Source organism: Homo sapiens, chromosome 16 (genome assembly GCF_000001405.40).
Source record: "Homo sapiens chromosome 16, GRCh38.p14 Primary Assembly".
NCBI lineage: Eukaryota > Metazoa > Chordata > Mammalia > Primates > Hominidae > Homo > Homo sapiens.
The window spans coordinates 89,302,186-89,318,430 of record NC_000016.10 but is presented as its reverse complement, the minus strand read 5'-3'; the positions used below and the strand labels follow the sequence as shown (position 1 = coordinate 89,318,430).

At 55.0% G+C, this 16,245-nt stretch overlaps 2 protein-coding genes across 6 annotated transcripts in view, besides 10 other annotated features; both read left to right on the top strand.

The window, feature by feature from the left end:
- LOC128462377 (uncharacterized) overlaps positions 1-1,385 on the top strand; it is a 101,247-nt gene extending 99,862 nt beyond the window's left edge. The window contains exon 2 of one of the 2 annotated variants that reach the window (NM_001416403.1): positions 1,356-1,385. In NM_001416403.1, coding sequence (NP_001403332.1) covers positions 1,356-1,385 — 30 coding nt within the window. Of the gene's footprint in view, positions 1-1,352 lie in introns of both variants that reach the window. The other variant, NM_001417603.1, reaches the window with a different exon arrangement.
- Positions 1-16,245, top strand: part of ANKRD11 (ankyrin repeat domain containing 11) — a 222,932-nt gene that overhangs the window by 172,131 nt on the left and 34,556 nt on the right. For 2 of the 4 annotated variants that reach the window (NM_013275.6, NM_001256182.2), the window contains 2 exons: positions 1,353-1,498; positions 13,087-13,225. In NM_013275.6, the coding sequence (NP_037407.4) occupies positions 1,412-1,498; positions 13,087-13,225 (226 nt within the window). In that variant the 5' untranslated portion in view covers positions 1,353-1,411. Of the gene's footprint in view, positions 1-1,352; positions 1,499-4,841; positions 5,115-13,086; positions 13,226-16,245 lie in introns of all 4 variants that reach the window. The other 2 variants (NR_045839.2, NM_001256183.2) reach the window with 2 other exon arrangements.
- Positions 225-816: an enhancer, noted in NCBI's record as "H3K27ac-H3K4me1 hESC enhancer chr16:89384023-89384614 (GRCh37/hg19 assembly coordinates)". NCBI's record gives its function as "activates a minimal SCP1, AML or CMV promoter by ChIP-STARR-seq in primed H9 embryonic stem cells {active_cell/tissue: H9 hESC(primed)}" and the evidence as "EXISTENCE:reporter gene assay evidence [ECO:0000049][PMID:30033119]".
- Positions 817-1,408: an enhancer, noted in NCBI's record as "H3K27ac-H3K4me1 hESC enhancer chr16:89383431-89384022 (GRCh37/hg19 assembly coordinates)". NCBI's record gives its function as "activates a minimal SCP1, AML or CMV promoter by ChIP-STARR-seq in primed H9 embryonic stem cells {active_cell/tissue: H9 hESC(primed)}" and the evidence as "EXISTENCE:reporter gene assay evidence [ECO:0000049][PMID:30033119]".
- Positions 1,967-2,117: a silencer, noted in NCBI's record as "fragment chr16:89382722-89382872 (GRCh37/hg19 assembly coordinates)". NCBI's record gives its function as "represses an EF-1alpha promoter that drives an FKBP-Casp9 reporter gene in an ReSE screen in K562 erythroleukemia cells {active_cell/tissue: K562}" and the evidence as "EXISTENCE:reporter gene assay evidence [ECO:0000049][PMID:32094911]".
- Positions 1,967-2,592: a biological region, named in NCBI's record as "H3K27ac-H3K4me1 hESC enhancer GRCh37_chr16:89382247-89382838".
- Positions 2,001-2,592: an enhancer, noted in NCBI's record as "H3K27ac-H3K4me1 hESC enhancer chr16:89382247-89382838 (GRCh37/hg19 assembly coordinates)". NCBI's record gives its function as "activates a minimal SCP1, AML or CMV promoter by ChIP-STARR-seq in naive H9 embryonic stem cells {active_cell/tissue: H9 hESC(naive)}" and the evidence as "EXISTENCE:reporter gene assay evidence [ECO:0000049][PMID:30033119]".
- Positions 2,102-2,201: an enhancer, noted in NCBI's record as "active region_11399". NCBI's record gives its function as "activates an Ori minimal core promoter by ATAC-STARR-seq in GM12878 lymphoblastoid cells {active_cell/tissue: GM12878}" and the evidence as "EXISTENCE:reporter gene assay evidence [ECO:0000049][PMID:35858748]".
- Positions 2,232-2,411: an enhancer, noted in NCBI's record as "active region_11398". NCBI's record gives its function as "activates an Ori minimal core promoter by ATAC-STARR-seq in GM12878 lymphoblastoid cells {active_cell/tissue: GM12878}" and the evidence as "EXISTENCE:reporter gene assay evidence [ECO:0000049][PMID:35858748]".
- Positions 2,593-3,184: an enhancer, noted in NCBI's record as "H3K27ac-H3K4me1 hESC enhancer chr16:89381655-89382246 (GRCh37/hg19 assembly coordinates)". NCBI's record gives its function as "activates a minimal SCP1, AML or CMV promoter by ChIP-STARR-seq in naive H9 embryonic stem cells {active_cell/tissue: H9 hESC(naive)}" and the evidence as "EXISTENCE:reporter gene assay evidence [ECO:0000049][PMID:30033119]".
- Positions 4,782-5,576: an enhancer, noted in NCBI's record as "H3K4me1 hESC enhancer chr16:89379263-89380057 (GRCh37/hg19 assembly coordinates)". NCBI's record gives its function as "activates a minimal SCP1, AML or CMV promoter by ChIP-STARR-seq in primed H9 embryonic stem cells {active_cell/tissue: H9 hESC(primed)}" and the evidence as "EXISTENCE:reporter gene assay evidence [ECO:0000049][PMID:30033119]".
- Positions 11,234-11,900: an enhancer, noted in NCBI's record as "H3K27ac-H3K4me1 hESC enhancer chr16:89372939-89373605 (GRCh37/hg19 assembly coordinates)". NCBI's record gives its function as "activates a minimal SCP1, AML or CMV promoter by ChIP-STARR-seq in primed H9 embryonic stem cells {active_cell/tissue: H9 hESC(primed)}" and the evidence as "EXISTENCE:reporter gene assay evidence [ECO:0000049][PMID:30033119]".

Sequence of the window (16,245 nt, the reverse complement as noted above, 5' to 3'; positions counted from 1 at the left end):
AGACGTGCACACAGTTCCATTTGTATGAAATGTTTTCTAACTGACGGTGCGGCGAGGACATGATGGGGGGACAGTGGCTTTGGGTGTGGGTGTGTAGGTGTGTCCCCCATTCCTCTCGTGAGTGCACCCGGGAGGCCTGGCTGTGATGGTGAACAAACCTAGAAGGCCCACAGGCAGGGAGGAGGCCCATGCTCCGAGAGTGTCCATGCCAGGCGTGGCGTGGGGAAGTTGGCATCGCCACAGAAGAGACCAGGACGAGGCTGGGAAGGAAGAAGTGCGCTCGCACCGTGTGTCGCAGAGGGGCAGCCTCACACCACGGGGGTGGGAGTCGGAAGCAGGGGCTCGGGGAAGGCCTCCCCCAACTGCCTGTTGGGTTTCCTGCAGAAAGAGAGGGACGGGGCAGAGCAAATAGTTCGGGAGTGGCTGCTTCGGAAAGTTCTTGCAGGCTTTGTGCTGTAGGGACACTTTCTAGTTTCCTTTACCTGGCTCTGCGCTGGTTTCAGGCAGGGCTTGGCCTGGGCGTGAACTTGGGTAAGAAGGTGATTGGGTTGCATGGGAGCCCTTGGCTATCTAGGAATTTGCCAGCCCTGAGAGAGGGGCAGTCTCTCCCTGGCCAGAAACTTGTTAAGATGGCAAAATTTCCTAAAATAAAACATGATTAATAAATAAAAATAATATACAATTAATACAGTATGTGTCCTCGGATTTCCTGGGAAACCCAGGAGCTGGAGCCTGAGGCCCGAGGGGGCGTCTGCTTCCATGGGCGTGGAGTTGGGACCTCGGAGCTGCTGGGACTCGCTCAGAGACACCCCTTGCCTACCAAGTTAGGGAACTGGGTGTGCAAAAAGCACAGGCCTGGTGGGGACAGGAGCTCCTTCCCAGGTGGTGAGTGGGGCGTGAGGCTGGGGCTGTGGACATGACCTGCCAGACCTGAGGGCTGGGGTACTGCGCTGCGTGTTGTGACCTTGCCTGTAATGCGGGGAAGGGACTGCCTTGTGGTGCCTGACCGTTTTGGGTGTAGCCTGTACCAGGTGGGACCCAGGATCCAGGTGCTGCTGACTGCCACCCAGAACACAGCCACACCCTAGGCCATGCGTCCCTTTCTGCCACTACAAAGTGCTTGACCCTTCTCTGTTCTCCTTCCTGCTCAAAGCTGCCATTCCTGTTGCTGGTGACCCCTTTATGGGAGGCGTATCCTGAGAAGTCCCTTCCTGGGCCTGGCCCGGGCCCCAGCCCTGATCAGAGCAGCTGCCTGCCTTGACTAGTTACTGAGTCTGTTGAGTGCGGTGTGAGAGTGGATGAGTTTTGAGCTGCCTCTGAATTCAGTGAATTGTGTGTCTTCTCTTTTGAAGCAGACGGTTGATGATGAAGCGCCGGCCGTGTAAATGAAGATCGGGTGAGGAGCAGGACGATGCCCAAGGGTGGGTGCCCTAAAGCACCACAGCAGGAAGAGCTTCCCCTCAGCAGCGACATGGTGGAGAAGCAGACTGGGAAAAAGGTAATGCTGCCCCCTCCCAGCCCTGCATGCTCACCGCACCCAGATGGGGATGAGGTGGGAATGGGGTGCTGCCCGCCTGTGGCCTGTTCTCCGCCCTCCGGCCCTTTCCTCGTGCCTCTGTCTGCAGCCAGGAGTGGAGAGGGTGGTGAGGAGTGATCTTTCCCAAAGTGGCCTTGCTTTTTTTGTATTTGTTATTTGGGGACCGAAGTCAAGCGTTAAATAATAGCTTTATGTACAGAAGTTGGCCTGAGCCTCAATGTGGCTGCACGTTTCTACCCCCAGAAGTCCAGGATTTCTGTCCTGGCTCCTGTTAGGCCTGTCAGGCATTCAGATATCCTGACTGCAAGCAATGCTGGGCCACGTTACTTCCAACTGTGGTTTATTCTAAATGTGAATAGGAAAATGGGATGCCAATCAAAACCACTGCATTTTATTAATGTGCGGTTAACGCTGATTCCTGGTGTGCAGACTTCCTGCCTTGCAGTGTGGGGGGTGATGCAGTTTCCTGGGGTGCAGACTTCCTGTCCTGCAGTATTGGCGGGTGCTGCTGGGTTCTGGGGTGTTAGGAAGTACAGACTTCCTGTCCTGCACTGTGAGGGGAGACGCCGAGTTCTGGGGTGTGCCCAGCGAATGTGAACTTGGACAGATCCAGGTTCAAGTTCAGGCTTTGCCATGTGTTATCTTTGTGACCGTCAACAAGTCAGGTGTCTCCTGAGTCAGCTTCCTGTCTCTGCAGCAGGCACAGTATCGTGTCTGGTGGAGTGAATGGTGAGGCAGGGCCTTGCTGTGCAGGATGTGTGTCAGCTCCTGCCATCCTGTCGCTGTCGTCCTTTGATCCTCGTGCCTCCTTGCTCCTCCTAACTTCTTGGCCAGTGTGGCAGGCCGTTCATCTGTGACCTGTCTGACCCTCGGTGGTCCCTGGTGGGCAGGGTCCCCTCAGTGTGTTCCTGGTTGCCGGTTGCTCTGGGCCGCCTTCTGGTCCCCAGGTCACTACCTGTGAGGCCTCTTGCTGCTTCCTGTGCTGCTGTGCTGCAGCCTCTCTGCTCATGTTGTGGGTTTGGTGTGGTGTGAGCTCAGCAGGGGTTCCACACGCGAACATAACCAGCAAGACGGCCTTCCCCTCAGCAGCAACATGATGGCGACTCAGTCCACTTCTTTTTGGTGAATCGTGAAGCATTTTGTGAATACGGACACGTGCAGGTGCTAAACGACAGCAGCTCTGAGACCCTTGATGTCTGGGCAGCATCCAAGTGTCTGCTCCCACTTGCTCTGTCCCAAGCTCCTCGTGCCGTGTGCAGGGCTGGGTGGGTTCCATGGCTTGCAGCCACCAGCGAAGGATGAGCTGAAGCCAGTGCTTGGTCAGCACCACACCGCCGAGCTCACAGGCGGGGACACACGTGTGTGTGAAGCCTACGGAGAGTCAGGGTTTGGTGGTCGTGATGGGCGTGTCCTGCTGAGCTCCTGAGGAGGTGGGTGGTCAGGGTGCTGATGTGCGGCCTTCAGCAGTGAGGCAGAAAGGCGCAAGGGCAGGTCACGCTTCCCGGTGGTCCCTGCTCTTCTGTGGCTAAGCAGTCAGAGTGTTGGGATAGCTTCACGTCGCCGCCCTGGCCTCATCTTCCTCATCTCGTGGGGTTGGGTCCTGGGACTCAGCATTCACGGGGAGCAGCCAGCTCTGCAAGGGTGCAGAATACTTTGCATACAGCTCAGGCCTCGCCCCCATCCTCTTGAGCTCCTGCCACTGCCACCAAGCTTCGGCTTCAGCATGCTCCATGCCTCCACTGAGCATTGGCTCCCAAAGAGGTCGTGTATGGTGTGGTTTCACCCCGAGAGTGTGGAGGCGTGAGCTGTGTGTTTGGATCAAAAACCTGTCATGTTCACACGGGTGATGTGGGTGGGGGTCCCAGGACCTCAGAACGTCTGTGAAAGGGCTGCTTGGCTTCTGCACCTGGGGTGTGCTCTAGGAACAAAGAGATTTGGGTTGTGCCCTTGAGGGTCTGATGCTGGAGTTCTGGAGCAGCTGTGTGAACAGACTGCTGAGTGAACCTGGCCTGCGCTTCACAGAGGATCCCAGCCTCTGTGCCCGCAGGTTTTAGGGTAAGGGTGGTAGTGGTGGCCTGGGTAGGATGCAGAAGGAATGTGGGGAAAGGAGATCCTGGCCCTGGCATTGATGGCGAGGTGGCACCTGTCACTCCTGTTCTCTGTGCCTGGTCTGATGAAGATCAGTAAGCAGTGGAGGAAAGAGGGAGCTCTCCTGGCTCAGGTCTCAGATATGCTTATTGAGGAGGTGGTTCTCTGAGCCGCTTGACACACCAGCAGGCTGGGCGTGGTGGAGCCCTGTGTCAGTGGACTTGCAGGGAAGGCAGTCTCGGCAGGGTAGCACGAGACGAGAAAGGCCGGAAGAGCCACAGAGAGCAGGTCGTGTTGGCGCAGGAGGCAGGGTGTCCTGATTTGCCGGCAGCCCCAGCGCTGATGTGTGCGCTCAGCTGCTTTGAGTTGTTCTCTTGTTTAAGGAGAAGAGAGACTTGATGAACTGGCCTGATAATGTCGATGCGAGCTCTGTTCACACGTGTGCTGTGAGGGATGTGTGGATTTCACTCTGGGCTTTTCCAGTAAGGTAGCTGTGTTATGGGTTCAGTTGTATGTGTGGTTTTTTGTTGTTGTTGTTTGTTTGTTTGTTTTGAGACAGGGTCTGACTCTGTCACCCAGGGTGGAGTGCAGTGGTAGAGTCTCAGCTCACTGCAACTTCTGCACCCTCCATAACCCCCCACCCTGCCCCACTGCCCCAGGCTCAAGCAGTCCTCCTACTTCAGCCTCCCTTGCAGCTGGGACCACAGGAGCAGACCGCTACACCCGGCTCATTTTTGTATCTTTTGTAGAGACGAGATCTTACCATGTTGCCAAGGCTGGTCTCAAGCTTCTGAGCTCAAGTGATCCTTCAGCTTCCGCATCACAGGCGTGAACTACCACACCCAGCCTGTCCTGTTTTGTTTGTTTGTTTGTTTTTCCAACTACTCACAGTAAAGCCAGGCATTTTCCTCATGGAGGCAGACAAATTTTAAACGCATTACAGGGAGTAGGGAGCTCTCAGGCCTGGTGGAGCTTTCTTAGCTTGAACAGTAGCTTGAAATAGAATGCCTGGGAAGACGCACTCCTGGTTGCAGCTGCTGTTAGAAGAGGCTGTATTCCTTAGGGAGGAAGTGAGCCCCAAGTGCCAGAACTCAGGTGCACACATCTGACCTGCCTTCTCCTGGTACAGGCTGAAATGGTTTCTGCTCAGTCTTCTACCATAAACTCCCTTTTCTCCAGATATAGCTTTATGTTATCAAAAACAATATATTTTTAGATTTTTCCAAAAGAATCGTGATCTCAGTGACATATACGTGGAAGATGGAAATGGAGCCCACAACTCTGCAGTGCATCCTGATGCCGCGCTGACCTGACGGCTTGTGCGTGTCCCTTTGGCTGCACCAGTGAGCACAGTGGCAGGCGTGTCAGAGAAAGGGCCCCTTCTGCAGACGGTCTCTCACCATTGCCGACCACGGAATCCCAGAACCGCTGAGCTGCCTCGGGAAGAACCAGCAGGTGTCTGCATCGTTGAGTGTGTTCTGATCCAAAGGTGTGCAGGGCTACAGAGAACAGTGTCGTCCCCACCCCATGGGTCCCCTGTCGTCCCCACCCCATGGCACAGTCACCCTGTCTCATTGTGCTCCATGCACGCCACTCAGAGCACAGGCAGCCTCACAGCCCCCTGAGCTTCACTTGGTGGTTCTCAAAGTGTGTCCTCCGACGAGCAGTCACCTGAGCTGCTGGAGCTTGTTAGGAACCCACATTCACAGCCCCACTGAGACCTGGCGAGCTGTGTGGAGGCCGAGAGGCTGGAGATGGCGTCCATGGGCATGGAGGCTGCAGTTGAGAACTGAGCATGTGAGCCCTCCAGCGAGTCTCAGCAGAAACCCCCCCAGTCTGTGCCAGTTACAGACTCACATCTGGTCTGAGGCCCCTCCCCGAAGATAGCTTTGTCAGTGCTGCAGGTGGGGAGCTGGGAGCTACGTCCCTCAAGATAAGTATTCCAGAGTGACCTTAGCTGAGAAGCTGGGAGGCGCATGGCTGGGCCTCGGCGTGTCCCACCTCAGGCTGTGGTTTCACGAGCCAGTCTGGCATGGGGTCTGTACTCAGAACAGAGCCCAGAACTCCCCCGCATGCTTCGGGAGGAGCAGGAGGCCGTGTCTGATGGCGAGAGCACAGGAGGGCGAAGCTGGGCTCACACACCCCTGAGACCGCTGTGGGCCCACATGGGCTCGTGGAGAGGGTGATTTCTGTCCATCTTTTCACTAAGGCAGAAAAGGACATAGAGCAGCATCACAGAGGAAGCCAGACTTGCTGGGCTTGCTGGACTTGGATCCGCTTCTCTTCCCAGTCTTAGGGCTCAGAGCACACGGCCTGTGGCCCGCCAGCTCCTACCATTTCTGCTTACCTGACAGTTGGGCTTCCCCCACCACCCAGTTCACATGCCTGCATGCTGCCTCCGCCCTGCCCCGCCCCTCCCCTGCGTGATTCCTCTCTGTAGAACACACTGTCCTCATCTCCTCCCACTGGAGGTTTAGCTCTGAAGCAGCGAATTTGCATTCTGTGCATTCTCAGCTCTGCCACATGCCGTCTGCACTGAGGCTTACCTGATGCTGTGAACGCCGAGCTCCTCAGGTTCTCACATCACGTTTAAGAAGTGGAAGTTCCTGGCCAGGTGCGGTGGCTCACACCTGTCATCCCAGCACTTTGGGAGGCCGAGGCATGAGGATCACCCGAGGTCGGGAGTTCGAGACCAGCCTGGCCAACATGGCAAAACCCCATCTCTACTAAAAATACAAAAATTATCTGGGCATGGTGTTGCATGCCTGTAATCCCAGCTACTCAGGAGTCTGAGGCAGGAGAATTGCTTGAACCCGGGAGGCATGGGCTGCAGTGAGCTGAGATCGCATCACCGCACTCCAGCCTGGGTGACAGAGTGAGAATCTGTGTCGGGGAAGAAAAAAGAAGTGGAAGTCCTTCCCTGTGTTCCTGATTTTCATTATTAGAATAAAGCAAAAACTTCCCACTTTAAGAAAGAAAAAGCCAAGAAAATCCCCTTGGCTCTGGGTCCTTAGACAGTGTTGTATAGGGTGCTCTGAGCAGCCTCCATGTCTTCACTCTTGCCCAACTCCCAAGATAGAGGTCCATTCTATTTAATATTTTCTTCTAGAACTCGTGCTCTCTTTTAAAATCCTATCTTTGGCAAACGAAGGTCACAGAAGTTTTTCCTGTGTTCTGTAAGTTTGATAGTTTTAGTTCTTAGATGTAGGTCTATGATCCATTTCTAGTTAATTTTTGTATGTGGTGTGAGGTAAGCATAGATTTTCATGTTTTGTATGTGGTGTGAGGTAAGCATAGAGGTTCATGTTTTGTATATGGTGTGAGGTAAGCGTAGAGGTTCATGTTTTGTATGTGGTGTGAGGTAAACATAGAGGTTCTTGTTTTCTATCTAGATAGACAGTTGTTGTGTTAGTACTATACTGATACCAAAGCCAGACAAAGGTACTACAGGATAAGAAAACTACAGACCAATGGCCCTCATGAACACAAACATACAAATTTTAAAAAGAATTTTAGCAAATTGAATTCATCAGCTTATAAAATAAAATGAATAATGTACCATGACCAACCAAGTAGGGTTGATTCCAAGAATTCAAGGTTGAACCTCCAATATCAATCAGTTCAAGTTGTTATAAGACTGAAAACACCATGTGATCATACCAACTAATGCAGCAAAAACATTTGACAAAAGTTAACACACATTCATTATTTTAAAAAAAATTCTGCAAACTAGGAATAGAGAGGAATTTCCTCAACCTGACAGAGAGCATCTGTGAAAACCTGCAACTGACATCATATTTAATGTCAAAGACTGAATTCTTTCCACCTAAAATTGAGAACAGACAAAGAAACACTGGCCATCTCCACTGCAGTCAGCATCGTCCTGCAGACTCCAGGCAGCACGAAAGTCAGACTGAAGAGGAAAGAGGAACACTGTCTTTATTCACAGACATTGATGGAGGAAAGCCCAAGACATCTGCACAAAAGCTACAAGAATCAGTGAGCGTAGCATGGTGTTCCAGTGCAAACCCATTATGCAGAAGTGTATTTCTAAATACTCGTAAATAATAGAGGGCTGAAATTGTAAAAATGTTTGCAGTAGTATAAAAAATACGGATTATTTTGGGGTAAATTTGACCGAAGATGTGCTGCAAAACCTGTACCCTGAAAGCTGCAAAATATTCCTGAGAACTGAGAGAAATTCAGAAACACCTAAATGCAGAGTTATACAATATTCATAGATCAGGAAACCCTCAAAACTGGATGCCATCTCTCTCCACATTGATGTACAGATTCAGTGTAATGCCAGCCAAAATCCCTGTGGGCTTTTTTGGGTAGAAATTCATAAGACGATTCCAAAGTTAATAGGGAAATTGAAAAGACCTAGAATAACCAAAGCCACCTTGAGAAAGAACAGAATTGGAGGATGCAGACAGTGTAGTTTCATTGCTTCCTCTAAAGCTACAGGCATGAGGTAGTGTGCTTCCTCTTGGTAGCAGGACAGACCCATGGGTGAGTGGAACAGAAGAGAGCTCACAGGCAGACCCTGCATGCCACATACAGGCGGACCCCGCACCCCACACACAGGCGGACCCCGCACATAGACAGTTTGGATACCAAGGCAGCTGAGCTGGTGATGGAACTGGAAGGACCGGATGGCACCTCTGTGCTGCAGTCAGTGGACAACACGACTCTCATTCTTACCAGAAAGATTGAGCTCCAGGGGGAGGGTGTCAACTGGACGTGGCCATTTTTCAGTTACTACAACTTTCTCTTTCCTCTGTGTGTGCTTCCCATGAGTGGAAGTCGTGATGTGATAGGGAATCTGCATATGACATGTGCAGAGCCTACCTCGTGTCATAAGGAGGAGAAGCCAGGTGGCCGGCAGGCTGGTGGGGCCCGGCAGGGTCATTGTGCCATGGCTGTCACTATCTGGTGGTCCTTGGGGCATAGTGGGGCCTTACAGGAGGTGCCTGGTAAGGATTGGATTTAATGTTGGAGATATTTGCATTTAGGAAATGAGAACATTCTGTAGCATGTGCACGTGGTTCCTGCTGACAGTCCTCTTGTGCTGGTGAGGAAAGGTTAGAGGGGCCGAAACAGGGCCTGTCCCACCCCAGCTGCCCAGCAGGCTCTGAGCCCAGGTGGATGGGAGCCGCCTTCCTGGTGGCTGTGCCACGCTCCCTGTTGTAGGCAGCTCGGGGCAAGCCTCGTGTCACACAGGCGCCTTGCCCATGTGTGCTTTTCCTTGCGCAGCTCGTTGAGGTGTAAGGAGCTGGGAAGCGAAAAAGAAATTTGTGAACTTTTAAAGTGAACTATAGATAGACATTATAGCTGGCATTTCATCTGTAAAACCAGGGATAATCACCACCCAGATGAGAATACACAACATTCCGGAGTGCTAGGGGCCTTCAGTAATGTTCCCCATTCGAAAAGTCACCTCTGCCCTGACTTCTGTCTCCACTGGTAGGTTTTGGCTGTTGAGATTTCCGTGGGAGACATCAGTTGCTCCACAGTGTCTGACTTGCAGGATTTTGCTCCTGTTGGCATTCTCTCCCTTCGTGGCTGTGGCCATGCCCAGCATTTGTGGGCTCTTCTGTCGATGAGCCAGTGTGCCCCAAGAACCACCAGGGAATCCACATCCCTGCCAGGGCTCAGTGTGTGGGCCTGACGTCTGTGTGGTTGGGCGTGTGGTGGCGTCACATGGTGGTGTGGTGTGTGTTCTCTTGTCTTCTGGTGGTGAACATGTCCTCCTGTGCTGTCTTCTAGAAGCTTCCATGTGTGAAGAAAGGGATTGAGCCCAGTCTTATTCCAGAGGAGGGCTGATCTTTGGGGTACAGATGTTCCCACCTTGGTTGCCCGCTGCATCTGCCACTGCATGCACGGGGCTCCTCCACGAGGCTGCGCGCACCTCCTGTGTTTACTGCGCGCACCCCATTTTCATGGCGCTCACCCTCAGTGTTGATGCTGCACGTCCCCGTTCTCATGGTGTGCACCCGTTTCTCACGGCGCGCACCCCCTGCGGTATTCCATTTGTATTCTAGAATTGTTCATTTGCCTTTGGACGGGCAGTTTAGTTGTGTCATTTTTTTTGTATTACGAACAAAACTGCCTTGAACATCCTTGTGCTTGTTTGTGAACACGTCATGGGAAACGCACCTGCAGCTCTCCCTCAAAGCCTCCCGGGCGTTTGCTGGGGTCTGCAGGGCCTGTCTTCTCCCAACTGTCCTGGTGGGGGTGCTGGTGTGCATCTCCTCGTGGCTGTCATTTGCATTTTCCTGATGAGAATCACCTTTTCAGGTGTTCGTTGTCTTATTTGGATATTTTCTTTTGTGAAGTGCCTGTTGGGTGGTGCCTGTAGGCAGTCTTGCCTTGACCGTGGACCTGGGGACAGTGTTCCTTCTGTCCAGGCTCCCTGGAGGCCTTGATCAGTGTGGGGCTTTCCTCCCACATCACAAACAGTGTGGAATTTTATCCCAGGCCTTTTCTGTAGCTGTTGACATGAGCACGTGGTTTTCTTTTCTTTATTTTCTTAATGTGGTGAATTACATTGCTTTTTAAATGTCTTGCATTCTCGAATCTATTCTTATTCCTATCATTTGTGTTGTCTTTTTTTATATATCCTGTCTATGTTCATAAGGTATGTTGGTTTATCATTTTCTTTTCATAGAATGCCCTCATCAGGTTCTGAGATGAGGGTGATGGTGGCCTCTTCACATGTTTGGTAGAACCTTCCCCTCATCAGGTTCTGAGATGAAGGTGATGGTGGCCTCTTCACATGTTGGGTAGAACCTTCACATGTTTGGTAGAACCTTCCCCTCATCAGGTTCTGAGATGAAGGTGATGGTGGCCTCTTCACATGTTTGGTAGAACCTTCACATGTTTGGTAGAAACTTTCCCTCATCAGGTTCTGAGATTAGGGTGATGGTGGCCTCTCTTCAGATGTCTGGTGGAACCCACCCCCTGGGCCAGGAGTGTTCTTGGAGGAAGGAGTTTAAGATTGGAGCTTCTTGCTGGTGTGTGCCATTCTTTCCTGGCGTTCCCCGACCCCAAGGAAGATGCCTATCTCATTCCAGGTGGGGACTGCACTCCGAGGGGGCCATAGAAAAGCTCAGTGGAGCTGCAGCCAGGCGGCGGGGGAGCTGCATCTGGGCACCCAGGCCGAGGGCCGGGAGGACCTGCACTGCTGGGGTGGGTGTTAACCCTCCGGAGGCCCGGGAGGGACCTGCACTGCTGGGGTGGGTGTTACGTTCCTGAGGCCCCGTCTCCCCAGAGACCCGTCTGGCACCCTCCTCCTGTCCCCGTGTCTCACTGGAGAGGTGGGCTCCGGTCTGCTTGGCAGCTTCTCTTTGACTCCAGTTGCACTCTGAGCTTGCAGCATGTTCTGGAAAGCTCTTTCATGGTCACTCAGGGATGTCTCAGATTAACTGTCAGGTTTGGTGGATGCAGGTTGGGTGGATGCACGTTTGGTGGATGCAGAGTGACTGAGCTGGAAGATGTATCAGGGTCCCAGGAGGCAGGACCGTGGCTGGGGATGCTTGGGCTTCTCCCAGGAACAGTTGGGCATCTCAGCCCTGGAGCAGCTGAGGCCTCCGGTGCTCTGAAGGCTTCGCTGACCACTGCACGGTATTTGCCGGCAGCTTACCTAGGGAAAGTTACAGAAAGAAGGCTTACTGATGGGGAAAGGCAGTGTGTGTGTCGCACCGTCCCCCTCCCCACGTCCCGAGTGCTGTGTGTGTCGCACTGTCCCCCTCCCCACGTCCCGAGCGCTGTGTGTGTCACACTGCCCCCTCCCCACGTCCCGAGCGCTGTGTGTGTCGCACCGTCCCCCTCCCCACGTCCCAAGCGCTGTGTGTGTCGCACCGTCTCCCTCCTGGGAGGTAGCGCACGTGTCTGCGGAGTGGGAGGTAGGTGGCGCGTGTCTGTGGAGTGGGAGGTGGCGCGTGTCTGCGGAGTGGGAGGTAAGTGGCGCGTGTCTGTGGAATGGGAGGTGGCGCGTGTCTGCGGAGTGGGAGGTAGGTGGCGCGTGTCTGCGGAGTGGGAGGTAAGTGGCGCGTGTCTGCGGAGTGGGAGGTGGGTGGCGCGTGTCTGCGGAGTGGGAGGTGGCACGTGTCTGCGGAGTGGGAGGTGGCACGTGTCTGCACAGTGGGAGGTGGTGCGTGTCTGCGGAGTGGGAGGTAGGTGGCGCGTGTCTGCGGAGTGGGAGGTGGCGCGTGTCTGCGGAGTGGGAGGTGGCGCGTGTCTGCGGAGTGGGAGGTAAGTGGCGCGTGTCTGCGGAGTGGGAGGTGGGTGGCGCGTGTCTGCGGAGTGGGAGGTGGCGCGTGTCTGCGGAGTGGGAGGTGGGTGGCGCGTGTCTGCGGAGTGGGAGGTGGCGCGTGTCTGCAGAGTGGGAGGTAGGTGGCGCGTGTCTGCGGAGTGGGAGGTAAGTGGCGCGTGTCTGCGGAGTGGGAGGTAGGTGGCGCGTGTCTGCGGAGTGGGAGGTGGCACGTGTCTGCGGAGGGGGAGGTAGGTGGCGTGTGTCTGCGGAGGGGGAGGTAAGTGGCGCGTGTCTGCGGAGTGGGAGGTGGCGCGTGTCTGCGGAGTGGGAGGTAGGTGGCGCGTGTCTGCGGAGTGGGAGGTAGGTGGCGCGTGTCTGCGGAGTGGGAGGTGGTGCGTGTCTGCGGAGTGGGAGGTAAGTGGCGTGTCTGCGGAGTGGGAGGTGGCGCGTGTCTGCGGAGTGGGAGGTAGATGGCGCGTGTCTGCGGAGTGGGAGGTGGGTGGCGCGTGTCTGCGGAGTGGGAGGTGGGTGGCGCGTGTCTGCGGAGTGGGAGGTGGGTGGCGCGTGTCTGCGGAGTGGGAGGTGGGTGGCGCGTGTCTGCGGAGTGGGAGGTGGGTGGCGCGTGTCTGCGGAGTGGGAGGTGGGTGGCACGTGTCTGCGGAGTGGGAGGTGGGTGGTGCGTGTCTGCGGAGTGGGAGGTGGTGCGTGTCTGCGGAGTGGGAGGTAAGTGGCGCATGTCTGCGGAGTGGGAGGTGGCGCGTGTCTGCGGAGTGGGAGGTGGCGCGTGTCTGCGGAGTGGGAGGTAGGTGGCGCGTGTCTGCGGAGTGGGAGGTGGCGCGTGTCTGCGGAGTGGGAGGTGGCGCGTGTCTGCGGAGTGGGAGGTAGCGCGTGTCTGCGGAGTGAGAGGTAGCGCGTGTGTGTCTCCTCTGCTTTCTCCACACACACCAGCGATTTCCTGAGCGTCCCTCCGGTGCGCAGGATGAGAAATGGGCCAGAGTCAGGGCTGAGCCACAGCCCGACCCCGGGCTTCTGGGTGAAGGTTCTGCGGTCGGTGACCAGCCTCACACAGCCACGCCCTGGGGTGCAGGGAGGGTGTTCATTGCCCAAATAAGAGATGCGCTTCTCCTGGCATATGAAACAAAATCTTGAGAGCTTGAGAATGTAATTTGGACATCACGACTGAAAGCATCCCTTTCTTTTCTAGGATAAAGATAAAGTTTCTCTAACCAAGACCCCAAAACTGGAGCGTGGCGATGGCGGGAAGGAGGTGAGGGAGCGAGCCAGCAAGCGGAAGCTGCCCTTCACCGCGGGCGCCAATGGGGAGCAGAAGGACTCGGACACAGGTACCAGCCCGCGGCCCCTCCTGCAGTCAGCCCTCCACAGGCAGCCCGGAGCAGCCCAGGCAGGGCGTCCCTGGCCCCCGCACCTCCGGCTTTGCACTGGGACGCACTCTAGCACCCTGCACGCCGTCCAGGCAAGAGGCAGCAGGGGCGGAGCACAGGCCCCCACATGCCACCTCCTTTGCACCCGAGGCTCAGGCCCATGGGGCCGATTGGAGAGCTTCACTCTTGGGTCCCACACACGTGGAGATGCACCCGGTGCATGTCCAGCCCTGGGCGAGGTATGGGGCTGCTCACCTGTGGGTCTTCTGACAGCTGGACACGGGAGGGAGACAGTGGTTCCCCTCAGGGCCACAAAGGCACAGGAAGAAACTCCATTGCTTGTAGTAAAAACCAAAGGGAGCCCTAAAAGTGAGCAGGAGGCAGGGAGGTCTTCCCAAGCACAGGCGGGGTCTGAGGCTGCAGAGCAGGAATGTGTGTGCTGTGTGCCTGTGCCAGAGTGTGTGCCCAAGTGTGTATGCCTGTGTGTATGTGTGCCCATGTGCACATGCCCGTGTATCTGTGTGCATGCCCTCATGTGTGTGCCTGTATGTATGCCCGTGTGTGTGCCCGTGTGTGTATGTACTTGTATGTACCCATGTATGTGTGTGCCCGTGTATGTGCTTGTGTGTACCCATGTGTGTGCCTGTATGTGTGCCTGTGTATGCGTGCCCGTCTATGCCCGTGTATGTGTGCCCATGTGTGCCTGAGTATGTGTATGCTTTTGTGTGCCTGTGTGTGCCTGTATATATGTGCGCTCATGTGTGTATGCCCATGTGTGCGTTTGCATGTGTGTGCATGTGCATGCCTGTGTATGCGCCCGTGTGTGTGTGCATGCCTGTGTGTGCCCATGTGTACGTGTGTGCCTGTGTGCCCATGTGTGCATGCCTGTGTGCCCGTGTGCAAGCCCATGTGTGTTCATGTGCACACGCTCCTGGTGGGGTCAGCGCCTTCTGCAGTGACACCTTCCCAGTGGATTCTGTCTTGAGCTGCTTGCAGGGAGCCCAGAGGCCTCTGCGCTGGCCGTGCTTGCTCTTTGGTGATTCTTGTGTCCAGAGGCCTCCTTGTCCTCCTGGTCATCCAGCTTCTCTACAGCCCTGCTGGGGAAGGTTGGAGGCAGTAGAGCACTAAGCTGGCCACAAAGCCTGGAGTGAACCGGGAGAGTGCTGAGTCAGGCCCTCGGCTCTGTCCCTGGCTTCCTGAGACTTCTTGAATGCAGCCATAGCACAAGGCGTAGAGGCTGTGCCAGGATGCGGGCTTGAGAGCAGATGGGGGAAGTGGTCCAGGTGAGAAGAGCTCGTGATACGAAGGAGATTGTTGAAGAGGAACGGCAGCAGGCACAGCCAGTAAAGAGGATCCACACCCCAGCTTTTGTCAGCACAGCTCAGCAAGCTTCAGCCTTTATGATTGTGTGGCTGCCGCAGGCCTGTGGCCCCTCCTGTCCTATGTGGGGTGCTCCAGGGATGTGCTCACAGTAGCCAGGTGGAGACTCTGCTGAGTGAAAGGCCAGCAGAGAGGGCTGGTTTTCCCAGATGGGAAGTGAGGGGCAGGTGCAGTGCCAGGCACATGGCTCCTGTCTCTGGGCCAGCACATCTGGGGACAGGAAGGCTGCAGGGACACCAGCACAGGCCCAGGAGGACTCCTCTTCCCAGCAGCGGACAGCTCCGAGGAAGAACACTGGGAGACACGGGGAAGTGAGTGGACAGAATGTGTGGATGGGTTGTGTAAGGGACCTCAGCCCCCAGAAGGGAGGGCCTGGGTGACTCCCTGGAGCTCCCAGCGGTGCTGTGTACTCTCGGGCTTTAGGCCTAGAGAAAGTCAGTCCAGGCCTGAAACCCTGTGTTTGCCGTCTTTGGTCCCCATGCTGGTTTTGGTTGTAGAAGGCCGTCATGTTGATACGTAGCTGTTAGCTCTTTGCACAGTGGCCATGCGGGAGTTGGCCTCAGACCTTTGAGGTGTTTCTGTGATGTCTCTGGAGGTGTTGCTGAAAGGGTTAATGAGACAAGCATCTGCTTCTGCTTCCTGGGAGAATGATCCCACTTGGTAAGGTGGCGTTCCCAGGGCTACCTGGTGCCCACCCCATCTGGCTGCTCAGGTCTCTTTGTGGTGGCCGTTTCATCATGGTGCAGAGAAGCTCTCACCCAGGGCCCTGTTGTGTTGTCAGAAGCTTCCGGGGTCTGTCTGTTGATGGTTAGCGCCTGCGTGGTGCCAGCCGTGCTGGCCCACTGAGGCCATTCTCGCTCTCTGTGGGTCTCTGGGATATTTTCTGCCACAGCCCTGGGTGCTCCTGGAACTGCGTGTTGAACACCATGTCCTTACTCTGTGAGGGGCAGGCCTAGGTGAGGACAGGGTAGGTGAGAATCCCTGTGAGGTGGGAAAACAGTAAAGAACATTTTGAAAATAGAATTTTCCAGGCAAGGATTGTAACAAAAAGACCTAAGAAACGTAGTATTTGTCCTCCTGTGTTTATCACCCTTTCGGGGCCAATTTTAATAACTTCTTGTTTAATGTTGCAAAACTAGATTTCCTAGGAAGATTGTTCTGATGTATGAGTGTGGAGCGTTGCTTATCCTAGAAGCTTGCATTTTAACCAGGACCCTCTTAAAGTAGCAAGTCCACAGCCAGGCGCGGTGGCTCACGGCTGTAATCCCAGTACTTTGGGAGGCCGAGGCGGGCAGATCACAAGGTCAGGAGTTCGAGACCAGCCTGACCAACATGAAGAAACCCTGTCGCTACTAAAAATACAAAAATTAGCCAGGTGTGGCGGCGGGTGCCTGTAATCCCAGCTACTCGGGAGGCTGAGGCAGGAGAATTGCGTGAACCCAATAGGTGGAGGTTGCAGTGAGCCAAGATTGCGCCATTGCACTCCAGCCTGGCAACAGAGCAAGACTCCGTCTCTAAATAAATAAATAGTAGCGAGTCCAACTCCAGTGCGTTCAGCCCCACCCTGGGCCGGGAGGCTGCTGGGCGCTGTGGCTCTCACA